General features: G+C 35.3%; 1 protein-coding gene and 1 long non-coding RNA gene across 19 annotated transcripts in view; one reads left to right on the top strand and one right to left on the bottom strand.

Moving 5' to 3' along the window:
• Positions 1–17269, top strand: part of ADAM7-AS1 (ADAM7, ADAMDEC1 and ADAM28 antisense RNA 1) — a 252805-nt gene that overhangs the window by 189322 nt on the left and 46214 nt on the right. The window lies entirely within an intron of this gene.
• ADAM28 (ADAM metallopeptidase domain 28) overlaps positions 283–17269 on the bottom strand; it is a 64946-nt gene continuing 47959 nt past the window's right edge. For 5 of the 18 annotated variants that reach the window (NM_014265.6, XM_047421272.1, XM_047421273.1 and 2 more), the window contains 7 exons: positions 16116–16196; positions 15713–15791; positions 9325–9433; positions 7987–8065; positions 7245–7310; positions 5465–5527; positions 283–4913 (listed from right to left, as the gene is read on the bottom strand). In NM_014265.6, coding sequence (NP_055080.2) covers positions 4893–4913; positions 5465–5527; positions 7245–7310; positions 7987–8065; positions 9325–9433; positions 15713–15791; positions 16116–16196 — 498 coding nt within the window. In that variant the 3' untranslated portion in view covers positions 283–4892. The other 13 variants (NR_130710.2, XM_006716273.4, XM_005273380.5 and 10 more) reach the window with 13 other exon arrangements.

Raw genomic sequence — 17269 nt, 5'->3', positions numbered from 1 at the left:
AGGCTAGAGTGCGGTGGTACGATCTTGGCTCACTGAAACCTCTGTGCCCTGGGTTCAAGTGATTCTCCTGCCTCAGCCTCCTGAGAGCTGGGATTACAGGTGCCCGCCATCCTGCCTGGCTAATTTTTGTATTATTGGTAGAGATGAGGTTTCATCAACTTGGCCAGGCTGGTCTCGAACTCCTGACCCTCGTGATCCACCCACCTCAGCCTCCCAAAGTGCTGGGATTATAGGCATCAGCCACTGTGCCTGACCAAGCATACATCTTTTTACAGAAGAAAATTAAATAAGTATTTTATATTTGTGATTTGTCCAGATTTTAAAATAACATTGTCAAACTATTTAAAGTAACAAATAGTTTTAACTTTGTGTGAGGTGGGAGCAACATAAACGACTTAGTCATCTTAGTCATTTAATATTGAGATGTCAGATATATCCCAAGAGTATGGACTTTAATATGAGGTGAAGGAGATAAACCGTTTAATGTTCACAAGAAGTTGCCTTCACAATAAATTGTATACCGTAATTTTCATGCTTAGGATTTTTTTTATAACAATAGTATTCGCTTAGCATACTACTAACAGTAATAGTGATACTGTATTAAGTGTTGGGCATTGTAGCAGACCACCCAGGCCTAGTTGCTAAAAAGTGCCTAACATTGTCAAGGGAAAGCCTTTTTATGGAAGCAGCAAAAGAGACAAAGTGAATTCAAGGGCAGATGTGCCAACGTGGCTACAGATTTTGTTAGAGGTGTTTTCTCCTGAGTTGGGATCTTCCCTGACAAGGTGGAGCTCAGTATCTCCACACAGCTGTGCCACTCTTGGCTTGGCCCACTTTGGAGAAAAAAAATTGAGGAGAAAAGAATATGCAAGACTTGCTTATCACCCCAACCATTTCCATATTTTTCCATATTACATCCAGATGCTAGTGTATGCAAATTATTTAGCTTACGCTCAAGAGATGGATTCTTTGAACAATGACATATGATGAAACAATATTAAAGCTGATAATAATATTGGATGCACCAACTGAAAAATAGCAATATAACACTTAGGAAATAATGGTGTCTTTGAATGATGGGGAACATACTAGTCAAGTGGCTGAGAAAGCATGTACTTCTGAAAAATATTTACTGTGGGAAGCAGTAATAAAGTTTATACACATTTTGCTTTAATTTTTAAAATATCTGGAAATATAAGTTAAAAACAGTTAATTGGTTAGCCTTTATAAAATTAAACTGATAGGAAAGAAGAGAATGTTATTAAGTAAACAAGAGAAACAACTATATAAGTAAACAAGAGAAACAACTATAAATTTTGAAATTAGTGAACAGGAGGACTGACAGTACAGAATATAAAAACCAGTAATTTGGAAGATAAATTTAAGGAGTTATCCAAAATTACCAAGGAAACACAAAGTGAGAAAGAATATGATAAATGAGAATACTGGCTATCAGAGATTTCAAGCAAATCCTCGGTGCTAGTAAAGAAGGGAGAACAAATGGAAGAGACTAGAGACACAAAGAAAGGAAAAAAAGTTTTGCAGTGATGAAAGCCTATTAAATATAGTTAATTTTACCTAAACCTATCTGGAGCATTTAAAACATTATATGGTTTGGCTCTGTGTCCATCCCCCCAAATCTCATTTTTTTAATTGCTATAATCTCCACATGTTGAGGGAGGGACCAGGTGGGAGGTGATTGGATCATGGGGGTGGTTTCCCCCATGCTTTTGTCGAGATAGTAAGCTCTCAAGAGATCTGATGGTTTTATAAGTGTTTGACAGTTCCTCCTTCATACACATCTTCCATCATATGAGATGTTTCTGCTTCCTCTTTCATCATGATTGTAAGTTTCCTGAGGCCTCCTAGGCCATGTGGAAATCTGAGTCAATTAATCCTCCTTTCTTTATAAATTACCCAGTCTCAGGTGGTATTCTTTATAGCCATGTGAAAACAGACTAATAGAAAATGTTTGTTCTCTACTTCCTTGTATCAGCTATCTATTGCTGCATAACAAATATCTCCAAACCATAACAACTTTAAACAACACATATTAATTATCATACAGTTTCTGTGGGTGTGTAATCTGGACAAAATTTAGCTGCATCCTCTACTTCAGGGTGTCTCACAAGGCTGAAGTCAAGATTCAGCTGGGAAGGAATCTAAAATTCCAAGCTTATTCAGTGGTTATTGGTAGACTTCACTTCATTTGAGGGTCGTTGAACTCAGGGGCTCATTTTCTTAATGGCTGCTAGCCAGAGGCCACCTTCAATTCCTTAACACATAGCAGTGATTTCCAATGTGAATAATAAAATCCTAATTATAATAATAACCCTTTCCATATTCTCTGACTGCAACCAACTAAAATTTGCTTTCTTTTCATGCATACTTCATTATTTTATAAAAAGCTAAAAGCCTTCCCAAAGGCCATATAAAACCAGTAATTTGGTGAGTTGTAATAAGTAGACAAACACTAAGGTATCTTAGAGTAACTGGATAAAAACATAATTTAACCTAATAATTTCACTGTTTTAAAGTAGACAAGGTAAAAATAACTAATGATGAAAACAGGTTTGGTGGCATATCTGAGGTAGTTAAATGTCAAATAAGCGGAATTCCCTTAAAGTTAGAAAGTTACGGATATAAGTAAGTGTGGAAACAGTATTGTGAAATCAAAAAGTCTGTTCTAAACTATTCTGCAGTTGAGCTGAAAGGGAAACATTGTAGGACTTGGGTTCGCAGTTCTATGATAAAATAATGGTTTTCCTGTCATTGTACTGCATTTCTTCTCTTCAAATAGGACGTATGATGCATCTGCATCAGGGACCTAGTGACATCATTTAGGAACTTGCAGGCATGTTCACATGCCACTGCTTTTGAGAGTGTATGGTTTAGTTTTTGCTTGGGTTATGGTACATGGCTAGTTGAGGATTCATAGATTTAAGATTTCCATTCCATCAGTATAAAAAAGGATTAGGTGAATCTATTACTGGGGACAGATATTTAAAAAACAACAACAACAACACAGAAAAGTTCACAAGTTGGTCACGAGTACATAATGGCTTTCCAGGAAATAGGGATTTATTTCTGGGTCAGGGGAGGGTCTTCTGAAACCTCACAGGGCAGATAAAGCTCTACTTTTAAAGTTGTTCTTCTGCAAATGCCACATGGAGAAAAAGCCTGTATCCTTGACAGTGATTTGATCAGTGGACTCTGGATTTCCTGAGGACTGAGCTTCACTTTTGAGGCCAGAGTGGGCTTATCTAGAACCTCATACTGCAAGGGTAAATGAACCATAAAGTTCCTCATGAAGCGACAGGCCTGTGGGGACCAGGTAAGTGATTGATAGAAATGGGTGAAGCAGACAAATACAAGAAAAACTGTAGCTGTGATGATGAACTAAAGCATGTTCCCTGATTATGGAAACAGCTACTTTACTAGTTAGGATGATCTCTGTTGAAAGTGAGAGAAAATCCAATTCAAAATGGCTTAAACAACAAGGAAAATGTATGGCTCATATAATAAGGAGTACCAAGAAAGTGTGAGGTAACTCCAGCAGTCACTGATCTACCAATTCCATGACATCATTGAAAGGCCAGGTTTTATTCTTTTCATCTTTCTGCTCTATCTATCTTTTTCAGCCTTCATAATCACCGTGTGGAGCGCAGCAGTACCAGCTAGAGTATTCAGATGCCCATATCCAGAAAAAGAGACGAGGAAAAATTTTCCAGAAGTGTTGTAACATAATTCCTCTGTCGTCTTACTAGCAAAAAAAAAAAGGGAGGGGGAGGATTATAAAATCATCTCCAAGTCGACCACTAGCAAGGAAAAATGAGGTTATTTTAATTGACTTGACTTACTTAAAAGGATAGGGATTTATCCCTGAGATAGATAGATTAGATAGGATATTCTTTCCTAGAAGTGGGCAGGTGAACAAAATTATTGTTCTAAAAGCCAGGAAAAAGGGGATTATTTGGTAGGAAACCAATAGTGTTTGCTACATTACCCATCAACTAAGCTGACGGTTGCTATGGGCAATGTAAGTCTGTTGTTGACAAAGCATCGGATTACTTTTAGATTACATCTGACAAAGCTGGGAATCTATTGTTTATGCAAGATCTCTCAATTTTTAAATATTAGCAATACATTCAAAACATGTAAAAGTACTATGTGTCCAATATCAATATCATTCAGACCAAATATATTTGCAGTGCAAACATGGCCTACAGGTCACCAGTTCGCAACCTGGTTTATCCTATTAATTTAACTGAAATTTTCTCCATTTAAAAAGTGAAAACCACTTTAACCATGCCAGTAATTAATTATACAAATATATATGATAAAACATTTTTAAATTCTTAGTTATACCAAATTGTAGAAAACCTCAAATGATATAGCTAATAATGATTTCAGAAGCTAATCTAGGAAAGAGATCCACAAAACAGAATTTTACATCATTTTCTTAACTGTGATTGTAATTTGACAAGTTAATGGTTAAAACAATCAAGATGTTGCAATCAATTGTACATTTAATGGATGTACAATTTTTCTTATTCCTCCAAGATTAGTGTGATGTTTTTATGTTTTGTTTTCATTAGAGAATGAATCAATTCCTATTACAGATTTTAACTTCGGAGATATTTCTTTACAATCATCTTCCTTCTTATAAGAATGGATAATTGAAATTTTAAATTCATGCAAAGGTTCTCAGGCATATGTTCCTCTTGAAAATTTTCTTTAGTCTCTTCAAAGTCTAACATGAATCAGAAAATGTTAACCTTCTTGAGTCGAGAGCAAATACTGGTGAGATAGATAGTATATTTCTCTGCCATCCAGATTTTCCAGTTTTCCAAGTTGATAATTTAGCCATTAGTTCTTGCTTAGCTGTTGCTTCATGCTTTTGGATTTGAGTCCTAAAAAAGACATAACTTCTAAATGATCAACTTTCTTCAAAAATTTAGATATTTACTATTATGAAGCTGAACTATGAAGAAATTAAAATTATCTGAAGTCAGTTTCTATTTCATAGGTCACTTGATACAGCAAAAACGAAGAAGTAGAAATGTGAGAGGATAGGAAGGGAGTGAGAAAAACACTACACTAAGATCTAAGTATCTATCCGGTAATTAGCATAATATGGAGAAGGTAGGGGACCAGAAGGAGAGTTACAGGATACTATACTTATTATTCTATGGGAGGTTTCTTCTCATGTTCATCCTTAGGGAATATTTCTGAGAAAATAAATAATATTGGTGTCTACATAGCTTTCTAGCTGAGAATCTTCTAATTTCTCTTTTTAATTATTGGCCATACCGAGAAATAAGACTTTCATGTTGGCACCCATCTCCAAATCATACAGATACTGTTCTTAGTAAGTTTTTTTCTAAAAAGACATGGTGGGCCTTCTCTTGACAGTAGGAGATTATAATACAAGAATATAATAATTTGGCTATAGATCTCTTACCTTAGGTGTAGACACTGGATTATCCTTGAAAACAGTAGGGGGAAGTGCGTTTGTGTCTTTATGCTACGTTAATTATAAAAACAATGGTATGGCATTAGAAATGCTATGCTTGTCCCATCTTAGCTATATTTATTTCCTTAATGAAATTATTTCCTAGCTCTTCTTCACTCATTTAAATTCTACCCAACTTTCAAGGTCCAGTTCAAATTCCAACTACTCAACCAATGAATATTCGTCCTACTTTAACCACTCCAAGCCCGTTGACTTTCTCCTCACCATATTTTTCCTGTCAGTGTCACTCGTCTTGGGCGATACTACAAATAACAGTTGAAGAATTAAGTGCTCCATTTTTATATGACTTGTTTTTTCTCACTAAAAATGTGAAATTTCTTGAAAGAAAAAAATCTCAAATGTAGGTCTTTCTCATTTACCCACAGCAGAATACCAGGCACAAGAAAAATGCTCAGGAGCCATTTAATGAGTGAATGTACTGTAATTCTTACTTCATGAGCACCTGACTCTTATTCCAGGTTTGCTTATATATGGCCCATTTTTCATACCCTACCTCCTACAGAAAACTATGACTAATATACATAAAGTAAAATATCACCTAATAAAATTTTATCTCCTTAAATAAACATCTAGAAATGAATCTTTGAGACCTCACAGAGCAGAGCTATTTATCGTTTCTCAATAATTGCATAACAGCAATACTATTTTTTATAATAAAACATCAATATCCATACTAATTTATAGACAGGAAGTTTTAGATATCCCTGGGACAAATGTGCTGTGATATTTCAAGTTAACCTCAAAAGTACACATCCTGATAACCGATGGATGTGGAGACAGTATTTGCAATGAGCAGGTGAGAGATTAAAAATTCACCAATGACTATCTGATACTTACAAGCAAAGAAGATGATATAGGTGCAGGAATTGGCGGTGGTGGAAAATCTGGCTTTGTAATTAGCTAGTAAAAGGATAAAACATTTACATTCAAAGATAGGGTCCTGAAAATAGGCGTGCATAAAGAAAAGACTTAAATCATTTTCAGAAATGGAGAAGCCATGACCCCACCCATGAGAATATTGTAAAATATGAGTTTGATTGCTTTCATTTAGTTGTACATACACAGTTGAGACCTAAGTCCAATGTCAATAGGTATCTGATAAAGATGATTGCTATAAACTGTATGTTTGTGTCACCCCACAATTTCATATGTTGAAACCCTAATCCCCAGAATGATGGTATTTGGAGGTGGGGCCTTTTGGAAATAATGAGGTCGTGAGGGTGCAGCTCTCATGATAGGATTAATGCCATTATAAGAAGAAGCACAAGAGAGATGCTCTCCCTCTGCTATGTGAGGATACAATAAAAAGGCAGCTGTCTACAAGCCAGAAGGCCGCTTCACCAGACACTGGATCTGCCAGCTCCTTGAACTTGGACTTCCCAGTCTCCAGAATGTGAGAAGTAAATATCTGTTGTTTAAGCCACTCAATCTATGTTAATTTAGTTACAGCAGCCTGAGCTGATGAAAACAGTGGTACTCTATTAAGCAGATTAGTCCTCTTCTTGTCACAAGTTGGCATGGAGTGACATACATGTTCATTTTTTTATATTTTCAAAATATTTTGCAGAAGAATTTGTATTTTATATTAATATTCACATAGATTTCAATATTGTCCTGAAGAAATAATGAAGTGTTGTGGGCTATGACTTTCACCGATATTTCCTGGAGATTGAACTAGGGTGGTATTTAAGAGAAGTTGCTAACTCACAAAAGAGGCTGGGGGCTCATTGCCTTCTACTGGCAGATCATACACATGGGGCTTCATCTGACTCATCTGAAAAGAAGAACGAATATTTCAAAATGAACCATTAGTTTCATAAGCACAGTTTTTAAGTAATTTTTAAGTAAGCACTTTTCAAGGCATGGAAGCTTGGAACTAAGCTGACACCAAGAGACCAGATAGAAAATCACAGTGGTCCTGCTGGCGTATTCCATAGAAGTATTTCCCAGAGCTGTAATGAAAAGTTTTCATCAAAAAATGATTACCAATGTTATAAATGATTACCAATGTTATTAACCAACTTCAGCTAAAATCTTTAAATTTACAGGACATGAGTAGGACATTTGGGTTATAAATATTACATGTATTATCATACAGACATACATATTTTTGTATCTATTTTGTCAATTTGCAAAGAAATAAGCTAGAGGGAGTGTGTGTGTGTGAGAGAGGGAGAGAGAATGAAGCAGAGACAAAGAGAGAGACAGACAGACATCCGGTATGTGCATTCTTTGTTCTCTTTATTCTGTTTGCATTTCATGAACCCCGGCAAAGTAGCCTCGGCATTTTAGGGACTCTTTTGCCTTTAACAAAAGGCAAAGGAGACATTTCTGAATGTGTTACTGCAAAACGCTGCTGGGTAGAAATGATAGATAGGTAGTCAGGATAAGAGTGTGAGAGAAACGCAAAGTGGGGCCATGGTAATCACAGCCCAGACTATATAGTTCACCTCTTGGGGTTGAACAGCCTTTACCATCTGGGGTTTCCTCTTCTGTTTGTGTGGCCTGGTGCCAGTGGTAGATAGTGGCCTGTAAGAGAGAAACACATGATATCAATTGACTTAGCAGCTCCTTCAGCATGACAGGGAAACTCCGTAGAAGATTCCCAACTTCTTTTTCCCATTGTGTCTTTCTTGCCTATTGCCTGGGTTTTTATCTGCTCCCTGGGTCAGTTTTTACTTCCCCGTCAGCCTCTTTCATTGCCTTGTAATTCATAATCACTACTAGTTTTCTTTTTTCTCCAAAAACCCCTGACTTCTAAAAATGATAGTGTTGAATCCAAATTTTATCTAAATTATGTTGTTTTATTAATGTCTTACTCAATATTAAAAAACTCATCATGAGTAAATAAGTCTTTCTTTAAAAGTGCTAAAAAAAAAAAAAAAAAAAAAAAAAACACCGTTGTGCCAGAATCACGTTCGTGAGACAAACCCAGCCTCCACCACTTACTCTGCAAGACTGAAAGCATGTTTGCTAATAATCTCTCTGAGCTTGTTTCTATATCCATCAAAATGTGAAGTTCCTAACCTTGCAAAATTGTGTAAGGGTTAGCATAAAACATTTCTCATCTGTAAAATGAAACTCATGACCACTTTATGAAGTTCTTGTGAAGTGTAAATAAGATAATAGATATAAAAGGGCTTAGCACACGGCCGGGTGTGGAGACTCACACCTGTAATCCCGGCACTTAGGGAAGCCAAAGTGGGTGGATCATTTGAGGTCAGGAGTTTGAGACCAGGTTGGCCAACATGGTGAAACCCCATCTCTACTAAAAATACAAAAATAACCCGGTGTGGTGGTATGTGCATGTAATCCCAGATACTCGGGGCTGAGGTAGGAGAAGTACTTGAAACTGGGAGGTGTGGAGGTTGCAGTGAGCCGAGATCGCAGCATCGCACTCCAGCCTGGGCCACAGAGGGAGACTCTTGTCTCAAAAAAAAGTGGGTGGGGCGGTGCTTAGCACAGTGCTCATCGTATATTGATCAAATAATGTTAGATATTATATTCTTACAACAAATTCAAAAAATCTGTCATAATGAGAGTTAATATCACTCTTATTATTATAACTACGGTGACTAACAGAAGGAAAAACAAAAAACATTTCTAGATGTGAAGGATTTCTCAGTTAAAGGGAAACCCAGTTTCTCGTCCAAAAAGACCATCTGCATGTATTTCTGAATATTAGAAGTAAACCAATTCAATTTGAAAGGATAGGTTATACATTGAATTTAAAGTAAAGTAAAATAGGGGTCAAAGAGTCCCTACAGCAAGATAAGATAAAGGATCACCTCTGATCTTTCTTCTGCTTTTCTCTGGAGCTCTGGTGCCGGATTACCATAGCAACCACCACAAAAATGACCGCCATTGGGAACAGCACCCCAACCACAATGGAGAAGTCTGCAGCAGAGAACAGGGGCCCGCTGAGGACTGCAGAAACACACATCTGCACAACACACTAGTCCTTGTTTCTTTACTTAGCACATATTCCAGCTACCCTTTTCTCCAATGAACATAAATTCCCATAGCCAGTAAAATGAAAAAGTATTTTGATCAGGATAATTATATTAATATTAGGTAGAATAAATACACATGAAATCTATAGGAAACATTTAACATGAAATAAGTTAAAAATCATAATATTGAGAATACTTAGATAATGTTTGTAACAACTGGGAAATGAGCTGGGAGATTAGAAGAGAATATACAGTAAGGAAGATGGCAAAGAAGAAATGAAACATTTTTGAAAAGCAGTCTTGGAATAAAACAGAGAAAAAGAAACTAAAACTTTGAAAATACATTCCTGTCATTAGTGAATAAGAAGCTGAGGTGTGACTAAGAAGACAAATAATCGAGTGTTCCACTGATGTTGGTCTACACTGGAATTAGACAGGAAGTTATGTGACCTTGAGAATGAGGAAATGGTTTGAACAAATATTCCTGGGCCTCCATGGTGTTTTTTCTTGTACTGACAAATTTAAATAATGAATATAACTTCACTCTTTTGCTCTTAACTGTTCATTTCTCTTACAATAATCTGAAACCACAAGAGACCAGGAAGGAAAAGATTGAAAAGCAATGCCAAAAGTTACCGTTCTCTTATTACAGAAATCAGCAAACCAATAGCATGATTAATATTTGTATAAATGCAAGAAAAGTTCACAAGTGTGAGCACACACACACATGCAGATAGAGGTAGACACATCAGAAGCAGAATTCTAGGTAAGACAATGACTTTAGTTCAAATATTCGCTACTCGCCACCCTCCATAAGATTCCAATCCAAAAAGTCAAAGGAAAATAAAACAGTGAAGCATTCTGTTATAGTGTAGATACATTCAGAATGAAAAACATACACTTACTTGCACTAATATCAGAACTGTAACTATTTTCAGAAGAATGACATATTATCAGAGAAATAAATGGGAATTTGGCAGTACTTCACAAACACACCAAACTTGAAAAGACATGGTCTGGAGCTAAAATTGGGGCACAGGACAGATGGAAGTATAACAACGGAAGGTTTGCAGGTGAAGATAGAAATCACTGAAGAGTAAGTGCAGCCTCTTCTTGTTTCTGGTAATGGTGGACTAGGAAATTGAGATCAACCTGCCCATTAAAAATAATCTTTTAATCTTTAAATTTTTTGCAAACAAGCAAACAAAAGCATCCTAAAAGTATAAAAGTACTTAAATGTTAGATAAAATTACTTTGTAGAGATTAGTGAGTGGGCAAGGACCTGGAGAGACAGAAAATAATCCTAGATAAAAGTTCAGAAATGCAGAAAGAAATGAAAGGCAAATGAACCAACAGCAAACCCTAATGTAAACTGTGGGCTTGGGGTGATAATGATGTGTTAATGTAGGTTTATGGAGTATTTGTTACCATCAACGAATACTCCACGAGAATGGGGGATGTTGATGGTGAGGGAAGCTGTTCAGGAGTGGGAGTTGCTGGGTATATGTCAACTGTCTGTTCTTTCTCTTCAATTTCGCTGTGAACCCAAAACTGCTCTACAAAAGAAAGTAAGTTAAGTTTATTTTTTTAAAAAAGCAAATGAATTGGGAAGTTTTAGGGTAATCATTAAAATATAAAAGAAATGCATAACATCCAAGTTAATAAAATAATAAAATCAATAAGTCTATAAGAAAGTAAGAAAGGAGAGAAAAGGGAACATAAACAGGAAAGACAAATAGAAACTATATAATTGTGGATTTATACCCAAGTACATCAGTAATTACATTTAATTTAAACGGACTAAGTTCCTCAGTTAAAGAAACAAACAAAAACCAAAGATGTGAGTACTACTAAAAACTATATGTGCATGCTTTCTTTAATAAAAGAAAAAAAGACTTAAAACGTGATTCAGAAAGGATAAAAATGAAAATATGGAAAAATGTTATTTCAGGGCAAATACAGACCAAAACAAATACGTTACAGCTATATGGTCTCCAGGAAGTGTATATTCTCAAAGGTAAGAAGTGTACTAGATAGACACAGCACCATTTCATCATGATACACTGTTCATTAATTTGGAAGAAGCAACACTCTAAACTTGTATGTATATAATAATACGCTCTCAAAGTATAAAAGTATTGATAGAGCCAGAAGTAGTAATCAAATTCACAATTACAGTGGGGGGTATTTTAACACTCCCAGCACAGTAATTGGTAGAACAAATAAACAATGTTAGGCTTAATTTATATATCAGACAATTAATAAACTTGATAAACAAAATATCTGGAGAATACTACAGAACACGTATATGAAAAAATCACAGTCCAATATCACCCATGAATATAAAATAGCCAAAAAATACAAATTCTTCCGGAGAATATAAATGAATACTCTCCAATACACTTTATGCGACTAGCATAACCTTGATACCAAAATTCAGCAATTTTTTCAATATGAAAAAATCACAGTCCAATATCACCCAAGAGTATAAAATAAGAGTAAACATCCTTCACTATATAAAAAAGATATTATTTCTAACTTAGGTTTATTCAAAGGTTGCAAAGTTAGATAAATGTTCACAAACCAATTGACTTATTTGACAGTACTAATAGAGTAAAGGGGAAAACATTTTAATAAATAAGGAAGTATTTGACAGAATTCTTAGAAACTTGAAAGAGAACTAGTGGACCTTAATCCAATCACTAGAATGGATGATCTTGAAAGCATAAGGTAGAGAAAAAGAAGAAAATGAGCATAGAAAAATTTCATACATACAAACTTTAAAGACTCTTGGTGATAATGATGTGTCCGGGTATGTTCATGGATGTAACAAATGTATGTCTCTGGTGACAGTGTTGATAGTGAGGGAAGCTGTGTTTCCTGTGTTTAAAAACTTTATACACATGGAATTATATAACCAAAAGCTGCTGTTTAAGGATGTGTATTTAGGAAGCAAAACTACAAAGAAAACTAACAAAATGATTATGACAAAAGAAAGATTAATGGTCAACCCTTAGAGAAAGAGGGGAGATCAGACTGAAAAGAGGCAGGAAAGCAGATGTCTGGGTCTATTTCTTGGCCCTTATTATATTACATGAGCGTTCATTTTGTAATCATCAGGTTTGCCTTTATATTTACATGTCTGCTCTATTATGTTACACACAAAAAGATGGTGTTAACAATAATCTTGAAAGCCAATGGCTGTGTATGGCCATGTCGTAGGGCAGTGCTCTTAAACTTTGTCATGCTGCAAATCATTTTGGCAATCTGATAAAGCCTATAAACCCCTTTTCTGAGTGTTTCTAAATTCATTCATAAAAGGCATAAGATTTAAAGGAAGCTATTGATGTTGGGATACAGTTGTGAAAATATTATAAAACAATTTATGATATAGTAAAATATGTGTTTATTAACCTCTGAAATAATCAGTTCTAACAGTAGGTCAGTAATTACCAAAATTTCAAACAAATGATACTCATGGGGTATTTGGAGATACATTCAACAACTGCAATGAGATATTAAAGTCTTTGTAATTTCTATTGGTGACAAAGTCATGGAATATTGCTAATACTATTATGGTTTATAAGCCATACATTCCCATAATTGTAGAAAATTCTAAACTAACTTTAGAATTTAATGAAAATAAAAATGTAATTTTTTCCCATTCAAGTTTAGATTTAGGACCATAGCTATAGTAAAAATTGTCATCCTCTAGGGTCTGTCCTCTTGGTGCAAGGACACTTCTGAACTAGGAAATGTTCCTCAGTCTGTCTGAGGCTTTCCTTGATGGTTAGATAAGAAATAGCACTGAAAGGGCACTGAACCCACTAACACAATGCCCTAAAAAAAACAAGGCTTGGGGGATAAAGTTGAATTCTGATGTAGTGGTTTCAACAAACAGAATAAGTTGAGAAAAGCTTCCACTGTATGTATTTTGAACTTCTCCAGCTACCTCCTTATCCTGCTAAAATACAAATTTCATGTAATATACCGTAAAGTTGTATCGCTAGTCCTCCAAGTTAAAAATTTTGAGAAATACTTTTAACAGTGCTTATCAGAATTAATTCAACCTTATTGGATGATAACTAAAGAAAAAGCATCGGTTGAATCAAAAGATTAGGTATAAAATAACACATAGAAGTAGAAGTATACATAAAATGTATACTCTCAGAAAAGGAGTATAAAGAATCAAATTTAGGGTACTCTCAATGCAATTAAAATATAGACTGTAAAAAAGCTAGACAGATGTGAAACAGGAGAAAACAACCAACTGGGATAAAAAAATATTTCAAAGACACATAAAAATGCCACTGAATAATTTTAAATGTCATTATAAGTAATAAGAGAATTAACATTGCTAAAAAATGTATATTATGATACAGAGAATAATCTTGAAAAACTTCCCCAGAATTAACAAGAAAAATGACCCAATATGGAATATAATATGGAGATCACACAGTGGAGATATTTTGCATAAATAATTTACATTTCTAAATCAGAAACCAGAAAACTGAAAGAAAATAAATTTTAAAACCTAGAACAACAGAAACATTTCTTCAATGGAAGAAAAAAGCAAATCCTCAGTTTAAAGAAACTCACTAGGTAACATCTTAATGGAAACAGAACATCACCCAGGAATAAAATAGTGATTCATTTTGATTAATTAGTAATTAAGTAATTAATTCTAAAAGCATTTAAGCAAAACAAACCTAATGACTTTTAAAAGGGATGTTATTTAACATCAACAGAAATCAGTCTGGCCTTGTTTTTTTTTTTTTTGACATTAAATATAAACATCTACTTTAACAGAGTTATGAATGCAAAATTATGATTTAAAAAATCAAATTCAATCAAACCTGCTATGCATGCTATGATATAGAATATTAATTGAAATATTAAAAATATTTGGCAACAGAAATACATTCTCATAAGTACAACTTAGAAAGTTTTATGTGGATGCATTGTTACACCAGGAAGAAATTAGTCATAGAGGTGACTTAGCAAATCAATAGATATGTCAAAATAAAGCAGTCAAGAAAGTCATAGTTTAAAAGGATTTTTAGTGAGCATTGAAACCATTAAAGAGTTTTCTAATTAAAACAGTTGATTATGTTCATGCCCCTTTCAAAATACATGACAAATACATGTGTATATAATAAAATCATAGGGCACTAGAAAAAATAATTTTAAAAATCTTCAGAAAGATAGGAAGTTAAGGGATTTATGTGGATGGAAACAATAAATATAGACTAAACATCAGAAATAAATGTTCTCTCTTGAAAAGTCTAACAATCTGAATTTGGGGCAGATATCTCACTGAGGTCTACTTCATCTCCTGTGTATATAGAACAAGATTGGCTCATCACCTGAGATCAAAATCCTAAGAATTTCTCCGTTTCTGCAAACAGAGGATGCAGGAACATGAACAGGAGGACAGAGGCTTCCTCTAGATACCTACACTATATCAGACAGAGAGGGGAGCGTCAATGAGATGATGATGAGAAAAAGCAGCTCTCTCAGGAGAAAATGTGGTGATGAGCTCCCTCCTCAGGGTAAAATGTTCCTCGTAACAACTGGAGGTGGGTCCCCACTCTGGCTCCTTCCCACCCTGAAGACCTATAGGCAGACCTGCCTACCTGCCCATAGAGCTCCCAGCCAGATTCCCCCATCAAGAGAAATATCAGTAGGTACAACAGCACACACAAATGCAGAGACATCCCGTGTGAACTAATCCAGCTCTACCAATTCCACATTGAACTAAGGATCACATATCCTGAAGAAAACTAGTACAACAGAATACAAGTGACGTGGTGACAACAGAACAAACCAACTCAAAAGAAACAGATAATTCAAAGAATAGAACTGAACATACAAAATAATAGGTCATATTCTTAGAGAGTTTTGAGGATATTACATTTTTCCATTAACTTGAGGCTGCTATGAAAATGGAAGAGTCCTAAAGTAAGAAAATTTGTGAAATTAAAATAAGATTACAAATATAAAGGTTGAGGAAATTTTTTTGCATGTGCAGTGAAAATGAAGACACGGAAAATATAATTAAAAGGTATTAAGGAGATTTGGGGGATAAATATTGTGGATTCAACATCAACAGAACAGAAATTTCAAGAACAGAGAAAAGAAGCAGTGAAATCTCATATAATACAAAATAAAGGCTTGGAAGAGGAGAGCAATTTTCTCAGGTTAGATGTGTAATGTTACCTACGGAAGACCACTGAGGAGTCATCGCAGTCGGGAGGGATCCATCCTTCCTCACATTGACACTGGAGCTCATGGTCACACACCTAGGGGAGCAATGATCCTGTTACTGTCCCCGCTAGGCTGACCAGAAACTCAAGGCCCTACTCATCCATAATAAAGTTCATGCAGAAAAAGGAATAACCCCAGTCTCCAGGCTTCCATCTATCTACAAAAAGTATGAGTGAATGAGAGGCATTTCATGAATGATTCCCAGAAGAAATTTCTCCTTGAACCATGCTACTGAAGGCTTGGATAAACTTAGTAATTATCATCATTTAAAGCTGAAAATATTCCTTTAGCTTTCTTATGACTGACCTAGAATGTCATAAGATTCAGAGAGCTTAGGGAAACATATTTTCAGAACTTACAGCATGTCCTTTGCACTTAGATGAGCAATTGGTTGATTTGTAGGCTTTCTCAATATCCACACATTCTGCATTAATGCAAACCTGAAAGTGATGTAGAAAACATGAAGCTTCATCTTCTCTGAACGTAGATGAGAAAGTTGAGGTCTGTGTGAAGAGGCTAGCAGATGTTGTTTAAGGTGGCTCTGCCAGGAGGCTGATGTAGAAGAAGGGAAACAGAGACGGGCTCTGTTGCTTACATTATCCTCTTAGTTAAACCAACCCAAAAAGGTTGATAAAGTCTATCTAAGAATTTATGTATTTTTAAAAATCCAAACAACTGTATATCCCAGAAGCAATGACTATGCAAGAAGTTAAGGGATAAGCAATAATGAGATGATCTTAATGCCAGGGGACCCAGAAACATCTCAATTCTGCCCTAGTCCCAGTACTTCCCTCCCTTAAGGCCCAAGCACTGCAACATCCATGCCAGGTCATGTGATAATGTCTCAATGTCTTTAAAGGCTTCAGCACTAGAAAATACAAGGAAATTAGTAAAACCTGGAAAACGCAGTTAAATATTATATTTTATATAAAATTCCTTGCCCTTGATGCTAGCATATGTTTCAGGAAAAATGGGGGAAAAGAATAAGTTTAAATACTGTGGGTACTTCTTATAGGCAAGACCTAATATTTTAATGTCAAATCAGCAGATTTATAAACATTGCTAAATTTTTATTTTCAGCTCCAGGGGTTCAGAGACCACGTATAAGCAATACCCACACTGAACCACTTAGATAATTTTGGACTCATCATTGGATAAATTAATATTTAAATAGCCAAATCAGTTTAAGTAAATAGGATAATATTCTGAGGATTGGCTTTACCACAGTGAAAAATCAGGGGAACTCTTTGGTCATGTGGATATCTTAGTGAATATATAAAGAGGGTAATTCTAATCTCTTAAGAGAGACAAACCTCATGGTCAAAGTTCGTGAATTGATTGGCCCTGGCTAAACAGTACTCGTATTTAAGTTCATTATATTATTAATGATATACAGATCTGTTAAATGAAGCCCAGTATCACATACACTGGCACTTTCAGTGAGTTTTCAGACTTCGTCTATGAAAGTTAAACGGATGCTACTGTGTGTTATCTGCATGACGATATGATACTC

The sequence above is a fragment of the Homo sapiens genome, chromosome 8 (assembly GCF_000001405.40).
Source record: "Homo sapiens chromosome 8, GRCh38.p14 Primary Assembly".
Classification (NCBI taxonomy): Eukaryota; Metazoa; Chordata; class Mammalia; order Primates; family Hominidae; genus Homo; species Homo sapiens.
This window is presented reverse-complemented; position numbering and strand designations above follow the sequence as displayed.